Source organism: Homo sapiens, chromosome 2 (genome assembly GCF_000001405.40).
Source record: "Homo sapiens chromosome 2, GRCh38.p14 Primary Assembly".
Lineage (NCBI taxonomy): Eukaryota > Metazoa > Chordata > Mammalia > Primates > Hominidae > Homo > Homo sapiens.
The window spans coordinates 23,796,497-23,818,906 of NC_000002.12; the positions used below are offsets into that span (position 1 = coordinate 23,796,497).

A 22,410-nucleotide genomic window follows, 5' to 3' on the forward strand; every position below is an offset into this window, starting at 1 on the left:
AAGAAGTTAGGCTCATCAAACTTTTATTTAGAAATTTTTCAAACAATATAGAGGGAAATTTTCAGGGAATATTCCCTATATATTCCCAACTAGAACCCTCATGTATCCCACATTTTAACTCTTCTCTTTCTTTTTATAAAATTAGAATAAAACTGATAAAGAGGATCTAACTTGTAAAGTGGCTCCCAGGTTATATCCAGGTTCAGTCCATTCCTCTAAATTTCAACTTCAGCTGCATTCCTACTTTATAATACTAATACCAAACATTTAATAGCTCCATGGTTTCAAAAGAAATTCACGTATACTGTCTCACACCAATGACCCTGTCTGTTATTATCCACATGTTATAGATGAAAATGAAGCAATTATACGTTCAAGTATTTATCTAAGATCAAAAGACTAGTAAGTCAATACCCTGGTTTTTCTAACTCTTGCTACATAAAGCATTCTATTAAACTTTATTAGCCTCTATGATAAACATTTTGATTAGTGATCTTCCTATACTATCAGATATTGAATAATCAAAAATGAATTACTCTACATTTAATATATTTTCCTTACAAAAAGCAGTAAAGTATACAAATCTATTTTAGCAAGATAACTAATGAAAGCTGAAACACAAAAGAACTCAGTAAACAAACACTTTAACCATAAAATTCTACATAATCAAGATTTATATTATAGCACTTAAAACATGTAAATCTTTTATATAAACATCATTCCTACTTTGTCTCCTGGGGAAAATATTTCTAAGCATTTCTAAAGGAGACTATTTCAAGACCTAGTAAGCTCAGGGTATTAAAACAATTTTTAAAAAATCAATTTCACTCAAGTAAGATGATCTACTATTTTTTTCTGAATCAACTATGATTTTACCTTAGATCTGAACTCAAAGTTAGACTTCAGATTTGAAAAATACGTGTATTAGTAATAACATTCAAGTTAACATGGTGCTATCAATGAAAGGGCTGAAAGGTCAAATCTCATCAAATGACCCCACAGATGATAAGGATGAAAAGGATATAACTGATAGTGATATAGCCACAATTTTCTTAGAAAGCTGAGTATCCCTTTTCCAAAATGCCTGAGACCAGATGTGTTTCAGATTTCAAACCTTTTCAGATTTTAAAATATGTGCATATATATATAACGAGATTATCTTGGGGATGGGATCCAAGTCTAAACAAAATTCATTTAAGTTTTATAAAAACCTTATACACATAACCTGAAGGTAATTTTATACAATGTTTTTAATAATTTTGTGCAAGAAACAAAGTTTTGACTGCAACCCATCACGTGAGGTGTCAAATTTTCCACTAGTGGCTTCATGTCAGCACTCAAAGAAGTTTCAGGTTTTGAATTTTTGAATTAGAGATGCTGAATCTGTATATATATAATTCAGGTTTTGTTCTAAGCATAAATTATCTCAATCTTTATAACAACACTGTGGAATACCACTATACCAAAAAAGAAACTAAAACTTAAATAACTTACCTACATCATACAGCTAATAGGCAGTTACACCCAGGATATAAACCCTGGCAGTATTAATTTTATAATAATTAAAAGGTGTCCAATTTACAGAGTCAACTATTTTAGAACAATATAATAAGGAAAGATAAATATTTAATCAGTTCTTACCTCTTCAGGCAGTTCACTGTACATGGTTTCAGAGGTAGACAATAAAAATATAGGTGAAAATGATGGTATATCTTGTAGCAATGTCAGAAAAGTTGCTCTCACAGTTTCACTGACAGCTTCCCACCAATCCCCAATGTGAGGCATGTAAACAATACTAGGTACTGTTCTTCGAGCTTCACGAAAAATCTAATTAAGGAAAAAAACCAACATTAAACAACTCAAATTGATTATTCTAAAGTCTACCCAGTAATCTCCAAATACATGAAATATGTCAGGCCTATTATGGTCATTAGTTTCAGCCTCAAAATTTAAGTTCAAGATATGATGCACAAGCCTTACACAGCTTCAATCTACCCTTGCCCCACCAAAAAAAAAAAAAGTATGTTTTGCCCTATCAAAAAAAAAAGTATGTTTTGCCCTTTAATTATTCCTATTCAGTATATATTAACAGTGGAAGGTATCAAATTGCTCCACTTATCTAGCATGTAAAGATAATAAAGCAAAACACCACTGTAAAATATGCTGCAAATAAAGAGATAAACATACACCTATGGCACTCATGTGATATCAGTAAACTTTACAAAAAGAACAACAACATAGTTTACATTTTTGAGCACCTTGACTAAAATCATACAATATATAATCATTTTAACCAAGATGTACCACCCTAGAGCTTAAAATTAATGAACTACTTGCTGAAACAGTCATTCACCTCCTCCCATTATCTTAGTTCAATATTTTATAAAATAGTCACAAAATACTCTAACTTATCTAAAGAGCAAATGATAGCAAAGAGCTCTGCGACACTTCCATTGTCAGAAAATACAGAATGAATTTTTCCTCAGGTGTTAAAAAGTCTTAACCATAGTTTCAATCACGCTCTGCCAACACACACCAATAGGGACCAGGTTGGCTATTAGTAAGCTGCCAAGCTGAATTAATGTCCCTTACTTATTAAGTCAACAGTTTAATATCCCACCAACAAATTCTGACATGTTAATAGGACATTTCTCATTATCTTTAACAAGTTTAATTATAAAAATCTTTCTTCCATTTTGAGAATTCTATTCCTAAAATGCTCGACTTATTTTCCCTTATTTTTAACACATTTCAATTAGCCTATGTAATATACAAGATATAGAAATAAGAATTTAGCTGGGCACGGTGGCTCACGCCTGTAATCCCAGCACTTTGGGAGGCTGAGACAGGCAGATCACTTGAGGTCAGGAGTTCAAGACCAGCCTGTCCAACATGGTGAAATTCCACCTCTACTAAAAATCCAAAAATTAGCCAGGTGTGGTGGCACACGCCTGTAGTCCCAGCTACTCAGGAGACTGAGGCAGGAGAATCACTTGAACCCGGGAGGTGGAGGTTGCAGTGAGCCGAGATCACACCACTATACTCCAGCCTGGGAGACAGTGAGACTCCATCTCAAAAAAAAAAAAAAAAAAAGAAAAGAAAAATTTAATATTTAAAATGATTGGGATTATCGGAAACTATCCTAAGAATCAAGTATTATTTTTCTTTAATGAGTAAGCTTACCACTTGCATACATTTTTTAAATAGTGTATTTTATACAGCTTTCAACCTTCTGTGTAAAATAAAAGGTACTGCCAATTCAATAATAAACCAGATGAAAGAAGCTCAAATAATAATTGGAAAAAATGTAGATGTTATGATCACTCACATCAAAAGTAATATTTGCTCCTTCCCTTCCTTAATATTTGCATATCCACCAATCCAGAACAGTTGTACAGTACAACTCCTTCAGGACTCTCAAATTTTGACCTTTTCTGCAAACACGTACCCTCCTATCCTGGATCTTGGAAATCCAAGGATTATTTTTTTCCAAAGTTCTTGTAGAAAATTCATAAGAGAAAAACAAGCATAAATATTGGCAAAAGGAAAGAACCATGCAGAAGCACAAAGGCAACTGAGGCACTTATTTAAAAAAAAAAAAAATTACATGCCACCCAAATCAGGCATGGTTACGTGGAAGACAGTGACCAACTCCTTTTGTCACTTTCCAGTTCCCCACTCTGTGCTGGTAAAACAAGAAAGAGTCAGCAAGGAAACAAAGGTGATCATATGAAAGACTAACCAGCTATAGGTTACTAAGAAACCTCACAAAGCCAATCACTTAATTCAGCCATGCAAGCTACCACATACATGCCCAGGGTATGAGAGAGATAGGAAAACATGCCTTTAAAAAAATGAAATTTTGCCTTTCATTCTAGTACTTCTAGGTTAGATTTTCCAGGAACATGTGTTGAGAACATCTAGCCATTAACAAGTATCAAAGAGGATGAGCAAAGCAACAGAAGGTTAAGTGATAACAATTTGACAGAGTCAGAAGTTAACTACAGGTGTCTTAACTGTATTTGCAAGGGTGAACTACATACAATCATCACCAGCTCTAAGAGTTGAGGTTTGTTTTTTTCTGTTTCTTTTTTTCCTCCAATTGTCTCAAAATTAACATGATATTGAACTCAAATTGAACATGATGTTGTATTGACCCCATTAAAAAATTTAGAAATTTGTCCACATTTCCAAAAAATTTCTTATTTTCATCTCATCTTCTCAAAATTAACAAATTGAACATGATATCCTAGTGATCCAATTAAAAAAAAAATCTCGAAGCTTTTTACTTCCAAAGCCTTTAGGAAAATGTCCTTCTTGATTAAAAAAAAAATTTATATTTGAAAACCTATTGGGGAAAAAAATCAGGCAAGTCTAAGATGAACATGGAAAAATAAAAAGGCTTCGCCTTTCTGATCTATGAGTGTATAATTACATGAATTGAGAATTAACCTAACTACATGAAATACCAACATCTATGAAATATTTTTGTAATTTTTCTCCTAAGTCTTTAGAGGAAAACCATCCTTAATTTCTACAAAAACTAAAAAGCACTATTAAAACAAGCTTTCTTTTAAATTCCTTATTCTATGTTATCTCAGAATATTAAAATAAACTTTTATATTTTCTTTAGATTTATAACCAGTCTGTTCTAATTCCCATTTTGTAATAAAAATTCAAAAAGAACAGAGTTTGAGAATAGCATTTAAAAATTCTTATAGTATAAGCAACAGGAAAAAAAAAAGTTTAATACTATTATGATTTTTTTCTGTAATATAAAAACAGCTCTTCAGCAGTTTGCTGGTAACTTTTAAAGTGTGGAGTAAAATACACTCTGTGAAATCAAATACCAGATAATTCAGAGTAGAAAAATATAGCCTAGTTTCAATGAAGCGGCAACTGGCTTGGGAACAAGTGATGCCATTTGAGAACTAGAAAAATACTCACCTATAGGGTGTCTTGGATTGGTGGATGTGCAAGGTGTAGTAGAAAACAGAAAAACTGTTATAGAAAAAAAAAAAGACAGTAGGCCAAATTACTGAACCAACCGTTTCAAAATACCTCTGACATGACCAGCACTCTTGCACAAGTAAAATGAACAAATACCAGCATATGTGAACTGTTCATTTTGATTCTTTATTACAACATTATACTCCATTTCCTTCTGACCTCCTTCTTGCCACAGACATCATAAGGACCTTAGATAACTAATTTTTTTAAAACTTTCTTTATTAAAAAAAAATCACAAACTACTTCCTCTAAATATTAAAGATATTAAAGGCAAAAATCAGGCCATTGAAGTTAGAAGTATCCATCCAAGGAAGCACTCATGATATAACTCTTGCACTTACAAGAGTTCTAATCATCTCAAAAGCTAAACTTTGAAGTCAGCATTTTAGCCATGAAATTAAAATGTTCCATCCATGAAAATCTAGTGTATTTTTAAACTAAGAATTTATAGTCCCACAACAAGCCATTTCCTTTAGAAATTGAAAACTAGAAAAATTTTAAACCCAAATGTGAATGAAGCAGAAAGCTCAAAGCCAGTATCACTTTTACCTGCCTAAAGAGGGCAATATAGAAAAGAGGGAAACAAATTTGTGTCATCAAGAAACTTCCAGAACTTGTCTCAATCACTTAATAGTATTATAAATATATTAAAATTATAAAGCACAGGTAAAAGAAAAATGTTGGGAGCTAAAACATCCTCAATATTTATAAAAATTAAAAGGCACTAATAAATAAGTTTAATTCTTTGTGCCATGCTATCAGAAATTATTAAAATAAATAACATCTGTGCATTGCTGGTGGCTTTATTCCATTTTTATCCCTTTACTCTATTTATATTCCCTTCATATAAGATTTATTGAGAATCTCTTGTGAAAAGAAGGCACTGTCTGGATTCTAAAGATTCAGGATTCAATAAATAAGGTACAAATTTCTTTACATGCACATAAAATCAGCCTGTTATAAAACACACCTGTACTAGTTTCTGAACTATGGTAGTAACACAAATTAGCATTTTATGAAAATTAAATCACTTAAATTCTTTTTCTAATATTTTCATTCCCTAAGGACTTCAAGAATTTCAGTAAATGTGACACACTCCAGGTCAGGATAATTTAACTTGTCTACAACTCAAAAAAAAAAAAAATTTAAGAAGTGTTGCTATGGAAAAAGTCAGATATCCATGTGAGCAAACACAAAAGCATCCAAAATATACACAGACTGCTACAGAGAAATCCAGAAATCTATAAGCACAAACACAAGAGCAACCGAAGTATACACACAGGTAAGTACATTATTAATACTTTCATGCTATTCAACCAAAAAGAATTTCCCCTGTGAAATTCCAGATAACAATTTCTTTCTGGGGAAAGAAATGCATTTAAATTTTCACCAAGAAAAGACCTTATTCACCTTTTGAAATTATTCCCAACACCACACAGTACATAAACTCCAAAGCTTTTCAGACCATATATAAATGTATTAATTGAATGAAACCTCTCTAATAATTAAAAAGATAAAATATAGCACGCTTATCAGTCCCTTTTTTCTAAATCAACAATAGAAATATACAGGAGGCAAAAATTATATTTGAGGATGTCAGAAAAAGAGAATCATAGTTTTGTTTTGTTTTTTAAGAGTGTTAATACCAAAGGTCTTTTACTACCGATATTAACATCTCCTGCCTTGTTGTAGGACTCAGTAATTACTTGTGAACTTAAGGGGGCAACTATAAATCTTCCAGGCTATACCAAGGGTTCTCATTCTCCTTCCAAAGCTGACTGTGAAATGCTCAGTAACATATGTGTGTACACACACACACACACACACACACACGCGCACGCATTTGTTTCAGTAATAAATGTTGGACTAATGTCTAGTGACCAGCTAAAGTACTATAGCTCAAAGTGAGAGCTATTGAAAACCTAGAATAGTAATATCTGAGATGCATTTTTACAAAGTACAGATTCCTGGGACTCATTCCAAATTGAGTGAATCACAATCTATGGGTGTGGAGCCAGAAAATCAGAAATTTGTGTAAGTACACTCAGGTGATTCTTATGCACACTAAATCTTAAGAAACAATAAGAAAAACATTGCTTTTTAATATAGTTGACACTAACTCTGCCATTTTTCACTCCAATTGATAATATTAATCAATAGCTGAATCCGTCAGAAGGAGAAAAGAAAGTTCTGTCATGTATATTCTTGTGCATGTATGTTTTAAAGGATAGACATAAAATGAAACATGATCCCCACAGTATAAACAATATCAAGTAGGGTCTCCCACCTTACCACGCATATACATACAGCCCTTTAAAAGTGATTTAAGATTCCCTTTAAGACTGCCTTTCATGTTCATGTTACACTACTAAATACCAAACTTAATTTATATTAAGCATTTTAGAGCCTGGGGAAAAGAGAAAACATGCAAGAATAACTTACCACAGACTAAACCCTTATATTACACATCGATTTAGAGAGATACCTCTGAGTATAGGAGGACTAGCTGCCAAGAAAGGTGAAGCAAAAAGGAAGAACCAAAAAGGAATATAGAACAGAAGAAAAGAGAATCTTTTTCAATCTTTCCAGTGTTTCAGCACCTGACTCATGCACTCTCTTCCCTAGCGCTTTTGTACCCACTTATAACCTGGTTTGCCAACCTTTACCAATTATTTAAAAATTCCTCTTACATTATGTAACAGCTTCTTCTTGCCGAATTTGTTAGCAAAGATAGTGTTATATTTATGAATGTAAAATAATTTTAAATATGCACTTAAGACACATATAATCACAGATTAGCCAAGACATCTGGTCTCTGGCCAGTGTTCAGATAGAGGGTGGGTGTCTGCTATCATGACTGCACTTCATGGCTCGTCCTGGCAGACTGCCTATCCAGGAGGGGTCACTCTAGAGTAAGCTCGACTTCTAACCCAGAAGCTCTTAGGTATAAACTCAGAAGATGAGATGCCTTAATGTACTAGAGAAAGTGAAATACAACCAAAATGATAGTGAGTTTTCATTGTTTTTCACTACCAAGTGACACCTCTCTCCTTCCCACCAAAACAAAAAAGTAGTAAAAGCCAAGAAGCGTACAAGAGACCAGAGGATGAAGTTAGAATTCAAAGTTGGCCAAGCAGGATTCAGAATCATGCCACGAAAAAAATCAGGAAAAAAAAAAAAAACCCTATAACATCAATATATAGTTCACTACAATGCTTCCTAAGTGTTTCCTTACCTTTACTTAAATAACATTAAACCAGTAATGTTTGTGAATATATATACAAATTAACCATAAGGAACAACTATAAACAAAAATAAAAAAACCTTTCTCACTTTGAAAATATTTCTCTTGGCTGGGCACAGTGGCTCATGACTAGATTACAACCAGCACTTTGGGAGGCAGAGGCGGGTAGATCACCTGAGGTCAGGAGTTCCAGACCAGCCTGGCCAACATGGTGAAACCCCAACTCTACTAAAAATACAAAAATTAGCTGGGCGTGGTGGTGGGCGCCTATAATCCCACCTACTCGGGAGGCTTAGACAGGAGAATCACTTGAACCCGGGAGGCGGAGGTTGCAATGAGCCGAGATCACGCTATTGTACTCCAGCCTGGACAACAAGAGCAAAACCCTGTCTCAAAAAAAAAAAAAAGAAAAGAAAAGAAAATATTTCTCTTTCAAAGTGATTTTTTTCATCTTTAGCTTGCTTGATACAGTCAAATAAAAACTTCAAAAAAGAGAATTTTCTAAACAGTATAGCATAAACTAAAAAGGCAAGGTTCACACATTTCCCAATCTTCCAGATTCCTTCTCCCCAAGCCAAAGCAACCATATTAACAGTTTTTGAGAATACTTGCTTTTTTCACTAATGTCACCTGCATTTTTCAGCCCATGTAAATCTATCTCATTCATGTTAATGGCTAGACAGTACTCCTTTGTATGTCAAGATACACCATAACTAATTTTAGCTGGTCCCACGTGAAGGGATATTCAGTTTGTTTGCCTTTATGTTTCGTGTGGCAATTACACACGACACAGTGACAAATATCCTTGTTCATTTAGCAATGAATACTTGTAGCTAACGTATCTTTAGGAAAAATTCCTAAACATAGAATTCCTGGGTCAAAAGGTATATGTATTTGAAATGTTATTTTCTTTTCTCACACTACACCAATGTGGTACTTGAAATTTTAAAAGATGGTGCCAAATTACACTCCAAAAACATCAAATAAATTTACATTTCCACTAAGTCTAAGCAGTCCACATCTCCAAATGGCATTATCAAGCTTTAAAAAAAAAAAAACAAATCTGATACTTTATTTTCACTTAAGTGAAGCTTAGAATCTTTTCACATTTTTATTGGTTACTTTTTATTTTCCCCCATAAATAGCATGTTTCTATTTTGCCAATTTTTATATTAGATTGCTATTCTTTCTTCTTACTGATTTTAAGGTATTTGCCCATATTTAGAAAACTTGTTCTCAACATATCTGCTACAAATATACTTTTTCCCAGACTATATCTATTAATTTAATCTAAAGAATGCTTTTTGCCATGTGCAATTTAAAATTTTATATAATCAAATTCCTTCATATCTTTATGTTTTCTAGTTTTTGTGCATTGCTTAGAAATTACTTTCACACATAAGATAATAAATATACTGACCTTGTGAATTTTTCCAGTACTTTTATAGTTCCACTGCCCATGTAGAGTTTATTTTGGGCTACAGAAAAAAGTAGGAAATCCCAGTTTTATTTGTTTTGCTTTTTCCCCTACTGGAGGAGCTTGCCAGTTTTCCAAGACCATTTGGTAAATAATCCATTTCTTCCATCTACTGATATGAAATGTCATCGCCATTGTGGTCATAACCATCAAATTCTACTTCTACACAAGTCTAAGCATGAATAGTCTCTTCTGTTCTATTACTTTGTCTACTCTTGCACAGGCATACTTTCTTTATTACTGTAACTCTATTACACCCTTACAATTTTGGTAGGGCGCCCTAATGACACTTTTTCCTCTAGAATTCTCCTTGCTACTCTCATATTTATTTTCTAGAAGAAACAGAACTCTTTTTTTTTAACTTCTCCCCCTAAGTTTTGAGGAGATTATAATTAGAACTGTACTTAATTTATACATTAATTTAGGAAAAAACCTCACAGCCTTTGAATTTAAAGTCTTACCATTCATTAGCTGTAAGCAGTAGCAGTGGCAGCAATGGTAGTAGTAATAAGCACGATTATAACTAACTTTCATTGAGGACTATATGTCAAGCCTATTTGATAACCTCATGGTGTCATCTCCATTTCACAGATGAGAAAATTAAGGCTCAGAGTGTTAAGCAACTTGCCCAAGTCACAACCACAACTGAGATTTTAATCTGCATAATTTGACTTGAGTCTACATTCTGAACTAAAGAAATTTAGCACAGTAATTACAAACAAAGTGTGCTTCTTCCTCTAAAGCTCCACATATTAACACAACATTATCATTAGTATGAAGTCACCATAAGTATTCTAGCCAGGCATGGCTCTCTCTATGCAGATGACACTGTGAAGTATTCACTGAGATATGCCCATCCCAAATCCCCAGACTTTCTTGTTCCTATATAGTGGTTCACTCCCAATGCAGAGATCTGGAGCAATGATCAGATCATGGGAGCTGAGAGTAAGAGGTGATGAGAATATTGACATTTAATTGATATCTAAAGCAGAAAAAACATCTAAGCTTTGCTATTTACTAATATAAAGATTAATAGTAGTGTGTACACACACATGCACACACATACACACACTAGAAAGTACATTCACATATGGAGTTGAACGCTCAACAGATTTTTAACTGCCCAATCAAATACATTTGAAATTTATCTATGTAGAACATTCCAAACCTCTTGCCTCAAAAGAGTTGATCAGAAGACTGAAGATAACAAACAAAATTCTTCGCTTTTGGTTTACAACATAAGCTCCTGAGATCTCAAGGTAGAGATTTTAGTTTCAGACAACCAAATTTTGAAGTCTACAAGCTTGGTTTGAGACCCAAATGCCAAATCTCTGAAGATACTTCTTTGGGAGGCCAAGGCGGGCAGATCACGAAGTCAGGAGATCAAGGCCATCCTGGCTAACATGGTGACACACCGTCTCTACTAAAAATACAAAAAATTAGCTGGGCATGGTGGCACGCACCTGTAGTCCCAGCTACTTGGGAGGCTGACGCAGGAGAATCGCTTGAACCCAGGAGGCGGAGGTTGCAGTGAGCTGAGATTGCGCCACTGCACTCCAGCCTGGGCAACAGAGCGTGACTCCATCTTAAAAAAAAAAAAAATATATATATATATATAATAAAATATAAAATATATACATTTTATATATAAAAAATAAATGTATATAATAAAATATATAAATATAAATATATAAATATATTTATAATATATATAAATATATAAATATTTATAATATATATATTATAAATATATTTATATATAAATTTAGCACAGTAATTTATATATATTATTTATTTATTATATATGTAATTTATTTATATATAAGTAACTATAAATTATAATATATAAGTAATTATATATATAATTATATATATAAGTAATTATATATATAATTATTATATATAAGTGATTACTTATATTATATGTTATTTATATATAAGTGATATATATTTATATATATATTTATATTTATATAAAAATATATATATATATAAAGTAAATATATATATTTACTTTAGGGATATGGGAAGAATACATGAGACTAGCCCAGCTCTGGCCTCCTTAATAAAGATGGCTTCTTCCCCCAGCCAAGAAGATTGATGATACTATGAAAGGCAGAGAGCATTCCTGGTGGGAGACTTCTCTGGCCTTTGGGTTTGGAAACAAACAAATAAGGTATGTCTTTCATATATTCAACTGTCCCCCTCAGCAACTTTTAGTTTTCTTCTCATAGTCCCTTCATATTGTTTCTGCTAATTCCTACGTAAACTTAGTTGCTATTTCAATTGGGACCTCTTCTTCCATTATATTTCTAACTTATTATAGTATTTATAAGAGAAAACTATCATTTTAAAACACTAACTTTGAAAGTGTCCACCTTATGGAATTTCTTTATTGTCTTACATCATTTTTTAGTTGACACTGTAAGTTTTCCATATAATTAATCACATCATAGGCAAATACTTACAAATTCAGTGTATCCTTTCCAATACTTAGATCTCTCAATGTCTAACTGAATTAATCTTGCATGCTTTAGTAATGTTATATTATTCTTTTGATGTGCTACTAGATTTCATTTGTAATAGTTTCTTTATGAACATTGCTGAAATGAGATTGGTCTACAGTTTTATTTTGTATTTCCCTGAAAGATGTGATATTGTTGATTTTGCCAATTTCACAGCTTTCCTCCTATTCCTATGCTGTTGGAACAGTGTGACTAGCATCAAAATGATCTTATCCTTTAAGATTAAAATAATTCACCTGTGAAACCATCTATGTTTAGTGGTTTTAAGATACTTGCTGAATTTCTTCTTCCACAGTGATTGTTTAGATTCTCTCTTCTCTGGGGTCAATTTTGTTGATTTATATTTTTCTACTAAATCATTTGTATTTATTTTAAATGGTACTGAGTAATTCTTTTACTTGCATACAACCTGCAGTAATTTTGTCTAAAAAGAAAAATATGAGCAAACATATAAATCAACATTATTGGAAAACACACCCAGGATGAGTTAAATGTGTCAAACTGGGAGCAAAATACTGGTAGATAGCATTTAATTCAAGGGTTTTGGAAAGAAACCTTTAAATAGGGCTTTAAAAGTGATGAAGTGCTGGTAGGGTGTTCATATCCAGAGAACTGTGAGTAAAAGAGAAACTAAATCAATACTACTATGAACTGTTTAAAAAATGCATATTTCTTGCTACAATGTAGGAAATGGCTTTCAGTTAGATAATTACAGTATATGTGTTAAGTATTCGGAAAATGTAACTGGGAAAAAAACAACAAAATTGTGTGAAATGTTTTAAGTGTTACTACTCCAGTTATTTAACTCTAAAAGTAGGCTAAGTATCGAAGTACAAAGTGGCATTCCTCTCTCTAACTTATTTATTTGAAACATTATTATTCAAACATTTAATGACCACTTACTATCAGCTAGACACCTTGTCAGAGTTACAAAAATGGCTTAGATATGGTCCCTTGGCTCAAAAAATGTATTAACCTCATCCCTAGTTTCAATATGACATAATATATCCATGGTTATATATAACAACCTCAAGAAATATAAACAGCCCCACTAGAACTTTGCTTCACAAACCAGTAAATACAAAATAGTTGAAAATCAAATGTCAAATACACAACTGTCAACACAAATATCTATAATTTTTGAACTGCTATCACTATTCTAATATGAATATTAAATCCTGATTATCTCAAATTGGATATAATTTCCCTTTCTATGATAAGGCTCTAAGAAAAGACAGAAGTCTGAAACTGCTCTGAGACCACAACTTTGAACAGAGGGTCAGAAAAAGGCAAAATAAACTCCCTTTCTACAATGCATAATGACACAGGGTATTAAAATTTCAGTAAGGAGGATCATGAGAAAGACAATGAGCTCACTTAAAAAACTGTATGCATCAAAAGGATCCTTTACACTAATACTAGAATGCTAATGAATAATCAACAAAAAGTTAATATTCATATCGTACTCTGAAAAAATCTTATCTTTAACACTACACACTAGAAATACTACCAAATTATAAGCAATAAGAAAGTTGGAAGTGCTCTGATGTGGTACAAACCTACCTGTGCACATGATTCCTCAGGTGTTTTGGCACTAACTGAATAAAGTGCTGGGAGATCTAGTCTATGCACAGAGAATCTTTCTAGAGTGTGCAAAAGTGCTGGAGCAAGGTGAGAAGTTTGACCTGAGCCCCGTTCTCCAGAGAGCAATAAGCGTGGCCTGTAAGAGGTTGGCTGATGATATGGTGACCTGTAATACATGTAAGACATAATTATTTCAAAGGCATACATTCTGAAGACAAATATGAAATATCAGGCAAAATTTTTACATTAAAACAATTTAACTCCAAATTAACAGAACTTTCCTATATTATTTTAGTATAGTGACTTATTTTTTTATTAATTATGGTTTTAAAATGTTGGTATCTCTGACCATATTAATAACCAAGATATAAAAGTATAAAATCCACTTTAAGGGCCAGGCGCAGTGGCTCATGCCTGTAATCCTAGCACTTTGGGAGGCCAAGGTGGGCGGATCACCTGAGGTCAGGAGTTCAAGACCAGCCTGGCCAACATGGTGAAACCCCGTCTCTACTAAAAATACAAAAATTAGCTGGCTGTGGTGGCGGGCATCTGTAATCCCAGCTACTCAGGAGGCTGAGGCAGGAGAATCGCTTGAACCCGGGAGGCGAAGGTTGCAGTGAGCCGAGATCACACCACTGCACTCCAGCCTGGGCAACAAGAGCAAAACTCCATCTCAAAAAACAAACAAACAAACAAACAAACAAACAAACAAATAATAAAATAAATCCACTTTAAAATAAAATAAAATAACCTTGGTATTCCTGCTATCATACCACATATATTAACTTGAAGATGCATTAAACTCCAGTATCATTTAGTTATTAGTTATCCAAGGTTAAATGTTAGGAATCTCACTTTTTGACAAAGAGGTAGATTTGAAGATTATCCCAAATGTAGGACTCAATTAACAGGCAGGGCCTTTAGGAGGTGATTAAGTCATGAGCAGTCAGCCCTCATGAATGGATTAGTTATATCATCAAAGGGCTTGATAATAAAACTAGCTAGTCCCTTCAATCCCTTCTGCCATGTGAGGACATTGTTGTTCCCCTCCAGAGGAAGCAGCGGTCAAGGCATCATCTTAGAGGCAGAAACCAAGCCCCCACCAGACACCAAATCTGCCAGAGCCTTCATCTTAGACTTTCAGCCTCCGTTAACTGTGAGCAATAAATTTATGTTGTTATGTTCTCACTCATAAGTGGGAGTTGAACAATGAGAACACATGGACACAGGGAGGGGAACATCACACACCGGGGCCTGTCCGGGGGTGGGAGGCCAGGGGAGGGATAGCATTAGGAGAAATACCTAATGCAGATGACGGGTTGATAGGTGCTACAAACCACCATGGCACATGTATACCTACGTAACAAACCTGCACATTCTGCATATGTATCCCAAAACTTAAAGTATAATAAAAATAAATAAATAAATAAATGTAGGTTGTTTATAAATTAATCTGTTTAAGGTATTTTGTTACAGCAGCAGGAACAAACTAAAACAATCACAATTTTTAAAATAACAAATATATATATATATACATAAACTTCTTCCAACACAAATTTTATTTCTGTAACAACAAAAACTAACTGTTACTACCCTGACAGATGACATCTAAAGCTCCATACCAGAGAAAGAAAATATGTTAAACCAAACTTGACTTGTAATTTCGAGATTCTACAGCACCATTAAAATAACAAATGAAACAAAGTTTACTCTCACTGTGGGTAGTACTAGACATTCTAAGGCAATGCAGTAAGAATAAAGCAAATTTAAAATGGAACTAATAGAAAGCAAAAAGGGAAAAAATTGATACCTGTAAAGGATATCATTATGTAGTAGCAAATCCAAGAAATCAACCAAAAACTGTCAGAATCTACCAGCAAAGTAACAAGACAGAAGAAATAGAAAAATCAATAGATTTCCTAAACACCATCAATAACCACTGTAAAAAAGGAAAGGAGATCCTATTCACTGCAAAAAAAAAAAAAAATTAAAAAGGTAAAACAAACATTATCTAATTACAGTCTTAGCAAGAAAAGAGTGAAACTGAGCCTGAACACAAAGACTAAATACATAAAGACGTCAATTCTTCCTAACCCATTTACTTTTTTATTTTATACACATAGGATTTTCAAGTTGAAATCCCAAAAGAATTTTTGGGAGGAGGGGAGTTTCAACTTACTCACAACTTTAACTGAAAGAACAATCAAGTAAGAATATCAAGAAAACTTTTTAAAACATGCTACCAGCCGGGCACAGTGGCTCACGCCTGTAATCCCAGCACTTTGGGAGACTGAGGCTGGCGGATCACAAGGTCAGGAGATGAAGGCCATCCTGGCTAACACGGTGAAACCCCCGTCTCTACTAAAAATACAAAAAATTAGCTGGGCGTGGTGGCACGTGCCTGTAGTCCCAGCTACTCAGAAGATAGAGGCAGGAGAATCATTTGAACCTGGGAGGCAGAGGTTGCAGTGAGCCAAGATCTCACCACTGCAACAGAGTGAGACTCAGTCTCAAAAAAAAAAAAAAAAATGCTACCAATTTTAATGCATTCAAACATGTTTTAGTAACAAGCACTTGATAGAGATTTCTTGTTCAATTTTCTTAACAATTCTGTGAAACACATAGTTTCATTTTATTAAACAGATAAGAAACCAGGGCTCGTGGAGGTTAACTACAAAGTTGTATAACCAGGTGGAAGAGTTCAAATTGTCATTCAAGCCCATTTGACTGCAAAGCTCAGGTTCTGAACCCACTATGTTAAGATGTGTCCTACTTTATACTGAAACATATTATAGAATAACAATTAATAGAATGTAGAATATATCAAAGAAACAGACAAACATAAAAGGCAGCCTAGGAAATGATTAATTGTAATCACTATATGAAAGAATTTCATATACAATGAAATAATTTATATGCATATGTTTATAAAAATTATATGAATTATAAAATATTTATAAGTCATATAAATTATGTTGTTATTTTATAATATATTATAAAATAATATGAATTATAATATATAAGTTTATAGGAATATAAATGTATAAAATGTATAAGAATTTATATTTTCTTACATGAAACAATTTCATCTAAGAAAAGAATCATAAAAAATAAATGAGGGCAGCACAGTGGCTCACACCTGTAATCCCAGCACTTGGGAGACTGCGGTGGGGGGATCATTTGAGCCCAAGTGTTCTGAGACAAGCCTGGGCAACATGGCAAAACCCCATCTCTACAAAAAATTAAAAAAAAAAAAAAATTTAGCCAGGTGTGGTGGTGTGCACCTGTAGTCCCAGCCACCAGGAGGCTGAGGTAGGAGGATCACATGTGTCCAGGAGGTCAAGGCTGCAGTGAGCCATGATGGTGCCACTGCATCCCAGCCTGGGTGACAGAATGAGACCTTGTCTCAAAAATAAAATAAAATAAAAGGAAGAGAAATGGATAATAAAATAAATGTTTAAAAACGGAGGATTCAGGTCATTTCACAGCATAAACAAAATGAATTCTAACACAAAATTTAAATTAAAAGATTCATTTATTTTTAATTCATAATAATCTAAAAACCTCTGTAACCCAAAAATTATAATCTGAACCAAATAGCAAACAACCAAATGGCATAAAGAATTTGCTACAGAGCAGGGCACGGTCGAACATGCCTGTAATCCCAGCTACTTGGGAGGCTGAGTTGGGAGGCTCACTTGAGCTCAGGAGTTCAAGACTACCCTGGGCGACATAGACATCCTATCTCAGAAACAAAATTATTGAAAAAACATAAAAAGAAAATTTAATAAAAAGAATTTGTCATAAACAGGAATGGTTCTTAATGTATAAAGAGTTTATATGCATAGTTTTCAAAAACCTCCATGGGCAAAGGACGTAAAACAAGACAATTCAAAGAGAAAATAGAAATAGGAAACTTTTTAAAATGTTTATTTAATTATATAACTATAGAATGCCTCCTATGCTGAATGCCTTAGCCCTAAGTATCAAACAATACCAGTGTTATCATAGAGCTCATAACTGAGTGGTATTTAGTAAAAAAGTTAATATACAAATTACCATAGTTCAATGTGATTAATAAGGGGTACTGTTTAAGTACACAGTGCTATGGAAGATACCAATTAGAGACTCATAGAAGGCATTCCTGGAAAAGTGTTACCAAGGCAGAAACCCAAAAGATTGGAGGTACAAGAGATGAATTCCAAGACTGCAAACAGGATGTGCAAAGGACCAACAGTTAAAAAGAACATGGCTCTTTGGGGTAACTAATACAGTTCATACAGCCAGTTTTGGTTTTGTTTGTTTGTTTTGAAGTACTGGGGACAAGTTGTGGAGGGTACAGTAAAGGTACTAGGGTGGGGAGAGAAAAAAGAAGGTAAGTTAGACTATGAAGGGCTACAAAGGGTTTTGTAAGCCACGTTAAAAGTTTGGAATGTGGCCTGGCGCAGTGTCTCACACCTGTAATCCCAGCACTTTGGGAGGCCAAGGCGGGCAGATCATGAGGTCAAGAGATCGAGACCATCCTGGCCAACATGGTGAAACCCTGACTCTACTAAAAATACAAAAAAAATTAGCCAGGCGTGGTGGCAGGCACCTGTAATCCCAGCAACTTGGGAGGCTGAGGCAGGAGAATCACTTGAACCTGGGAGGTGGAGGTTGCAGTGAGCTGAGATCACACCATTGCACTCCAGCCTGGGCAAAAAGAATGAAATCCGTCTCCAAAAAAAAAAAAAAAAAGTTTGGAATGTGTACTGAAGACAATGGGGAAGCATTAAGATACTTTAGAGGAACAAGATAATCATATACATGTTTAGGGAAGATAACTCTATCTCAGCATTGTCAGTATGGGAAAGGGTTTTGAAAGAAGGCAAATGAGAGGAAAGATAATCAGGCATCTGCTATAGTAACCCAGGCATGACATGTGAATGACAGTTCAACAAGAATAGTGTTAGAGAAAGAAGGAATAGCCTGCGATGAGACTTACTTAGTAAGAAAAATCAGAAAGACTTGGTCATTGACTAGACAAAGAAAGAAATAAAAGGAAAGAAGTTGAGAATGATGTCAAATTCTAGCTGAGACAACTGAATGAATGATGGCTCATAGGAGTCACAGGAAGAGAAGGGGCGTATGATACAGTCCAGCTATGTACGGAAAGATCCATGGTACAACAAAGGGGAGATGGGCCACTGGTCAGGGTCTGAAGCTCAAGAGCAATCTAGGCTTGAGAACAAAATGGTAGTCATTAACACAGAGATTTTTAAAAAATGAGAAAATATAAATGAAAATAATGATGGACATCTTTTATCTGTTAGATTAATAAACCAAAAATTAATTGTAATGCCCATTATCAATGAGAGGATGGCAAAATTGATATCCTCACAACTAGTGGAAGAAAAGCACAACTTTTCTGAAATTATATGTGATAGATCTAAATATGCCAAAATGTATGCCCAAAAGTATTCAATAACTCACTCCACTCCTAGGGATTCCCCAGCCTCTTACTATCTTCTACATTTTTTCCCCATAGTACTTATCTTCTAACAGTTTATCTATCTAGCAAGCTATTACATTTATTATTTTACTGAATGTCTCCTCTGTTTAAAAATATAAGTTAAATGAGGGCCAGGATCTTACCCTATTTTGTTCACTGACCTACCCCAACTACCCAGGACAATGTCTGGAACATGATGGGCACTTTTACAAAACATTTGAATGAGTGAATGAATATATGAAAGAACAAATGAACAAGTCAACTAAACAAAAAGATATTATATTCATCTATCTGGTTTGTAAAGATTTTAAAAGACAGTGCTCAGAATTGACAATGGTATAAGAAAAATACTACTCTCATACATTAGTATGAGAAATGTAAACTAGTACAAGCCTTCTGGAAAGCAATTTAACAATCTGTGTCAACATGTTAAATGTATACACTCTTTGACACAGCAATTGCAGTTCTTAAAATTTACCTTATGCTTTGAATCAGATAGTGGTGTAAAGATGTATACTTAGAAACAAGTCTATTGTTCATAAAAGAAGAAACTTGAAAACTTCAAATTTTACCAATAAGGGTCTATAAATTATGGAATATCCAAAGTGTAAGATAATATGCAGCTATCTTAAAACAGTCATATTAAACATACACTGACATGAAATAATATTCCCAACATAGTGGATGAAAAAGTAAGTTATATTAACAACTTATAGGAGGATATAATCCAGATAATGTATGGGTCTATACATTATACATGCATAGAGAGGACATGGAAGTGTGGTCACCAAAACTTTAACAAATATTACCTGCAGGTGCTGGGGCTTTAATTTTTACTTTCTTCTTTATGCTCTTCTTTATTACTTGAATTTTCTACAGTGTATATCATCTTTCTAATCAGAAAAAACAAAGCTATTTTCATTTGAAAAACCTCAGAAAATTCTGTTTCTAGTCACCCTTATGGTAATATAAAGTAAGAAAGAAAATTTATTTTCCATCATAAAGCTTCTCTACCAGATTGGTAAACCTTAACTATCTTGACTTCTCCTTTATATTAAATGTAAAAAAGAAAAGGTTTCAACATTGTTTCAGGAGACTATTCCCAGAAATTCACCAGCAATACCCAGGCTAGTGTGACTGAAAACCAGCACTAAAGTTATGCTTTATTCTGGCCGAGCACCTTTTCTTCTGCATTGATCTGTAATGCTAACGTATCTTGCTCAAACAGAAAACTAAACCAACCAAACAAAAAAGACTATATGTTGCCCATACTAAAGGCCTTAATTCTAAAGTGTATGCTTCTTGGAGAGTGTGAAATATATGGCTTAACTTACCTAAAGAAGCAATGCAATTCCCTAGCTACTTATTAAGCTCAGAAATAACTTGGAAAAATATGGTCTTAGGAAACAGCACAGAGTCTGGCTCTGCCACCTGCTAGCAACAGGATCATGGGCAATTTATTTAACTTCTGTGTGCTTCACTTTCCTCATCTATAAAATGAAGATACCACAAATGCAATATGATTGTTAAGGGGCCTATATATATTACTGAATATGAAGCACAGATCTTTACATACCAAGCAAGTATCTAATTTGTAAAAAGCACTCAGATGCAAACTCCCATCCCTTCATAATGAAAAGGACAGCAAATATCACTACTTCTCCTGTGAAACCTTCCCAGACTTCCAGCAGAATTAGTTCTGCTTTCACAGCACTTTCGCCATATTGAAATGTTTGTCACCCCCAACCATGAGACCTTCTCCAAAGTAAGAACTATGTTATATCTTATTCATGCTTATGTTTTCAGCATCTCATACAATGCCTGGCATAGGGTAAACAAAGAAAAATTGGACAAATGGGTAGGTGAATAAAGAAATAAGTGAATAATTATTATTAAAACATCTAAAAAATGCTTATTCTAGCATATAGCTGTCTCATTATTTAATCAAAGTCAAATGAATGAACTAGAAAAGCTTATGTAAAGGAAGCTAAAATTAAACCAATTCTTTCAGAAAAGCTAAAACAAAATGAGCCATACCAATGTTTCACATTAAATCAGTGGCAGGAAATGTCCTCAATAAAAAGTCAAACTTAACACTGTACATGATACTTTCTAATATCAAAATCTATTTCTGTATTCCTTTATTGACGACAATTATCTTATAAAATTAAACACGTCTTTTGATACTTACTTAGTTTCTGCTACTACATAATACAAATCCAAATAACTATAACTGTCAAACACACATAAACACACACACACACACATTACACACACACACACACACACACACATTACACACACACACACACACAGAGAGAGAGAAGGAGGGAGGGAAGAAGAGAGGGAGAGGGAGAGACGGAGGGAGGGAAGAAGAGAGGGAGAGGGAGGGAGGGAAGAAGAGAGGGAGGGAGGGAGGGAAGAAGAGAGGGAGACGGAGGGAGGGAGGGAAGAAGAGAGGGAGGGGGGAGAGAGAGAGAGAGAAAGAGAGAGAGACAGAGAGACACAGACGCACAGGCTAGCCAGGTGAAAAGCAAAAAAAAAAAAAAAAAAAAAAAAATTGGCTTTCCCATAACTATCAATAAAACAAATCTGTAAAATGCTGGAATAGCCTATAAAAAAACTTCCCCAAGAGCATAAAAGAAAGGATCTGGAGAAGAAGAAAAAAACTTACAAAGAGTTTGCTATTAAAGAACATATGAAGAAAAAAAGAGGAGATGAAAGTAATTTAGGCTCATTTTTAAAAATGAAAAACAAGAAAGGGTTATCAATGCAAATAATCAAATCAACATTTCACCAAAATCTACATGGGAAAACTTCAAGTTGGAGACTTAAATTTGTTCAAAATATTAAAAGTACACACAATCCGGCCTCTTCTAATAGAAGTGCTATTAGATCTACCTGACTGAAGCTTTATGGTCCTTCAACTATGGGGCTAATTATGTAAATGCAAGTAAAGATGCTGTTAGTATTTGAAAACTATTTGGCCTCTTAATTTAAAATTACATTTGCACTAAAAGTGTTTACCTATTATAGTGCACAGCAAAACTTGCTTTAACACAGATAATAAAAGGGTAAA

General features: G+C 33.9%; 1 protein-coding gene across 27 annotated transcripts in view; it reads right to left on the reverse strand.

Annotated features, from left to right (window-relative positions):
- Positions 1–22,410, reverse strand: part of ATAD2B (ATPase family AAA domain containing 2B) — a 249,155-nt gene that overhangs the window by 118,528 nt on the left and 108,217 nt on the right. For 18 of the 27 annotated variants that reach the window (XR_001738780.3, XR_001738782.3, XM_047444799.1 and 15 more), the window contains 2 exons: positions 13,820–14,006; positions 1,642–1,827 (listed from right to left, as the gene is read on the reverse strand). Coding sequence is in view for 24 of the 27 variants with exons in the window: in XM_047444799.1 (XP_047300755.1) it covers positions 1,642–1,827; positions 13,820–14,006 (373 nt within the window). In the remaining 3 variants the exon portion in view is untranslated. The other 9 variants (XM_047444805.1, XM_011532930.4, XM_047444806.1 and 6 more) reach the window with 7 other exon arrangements.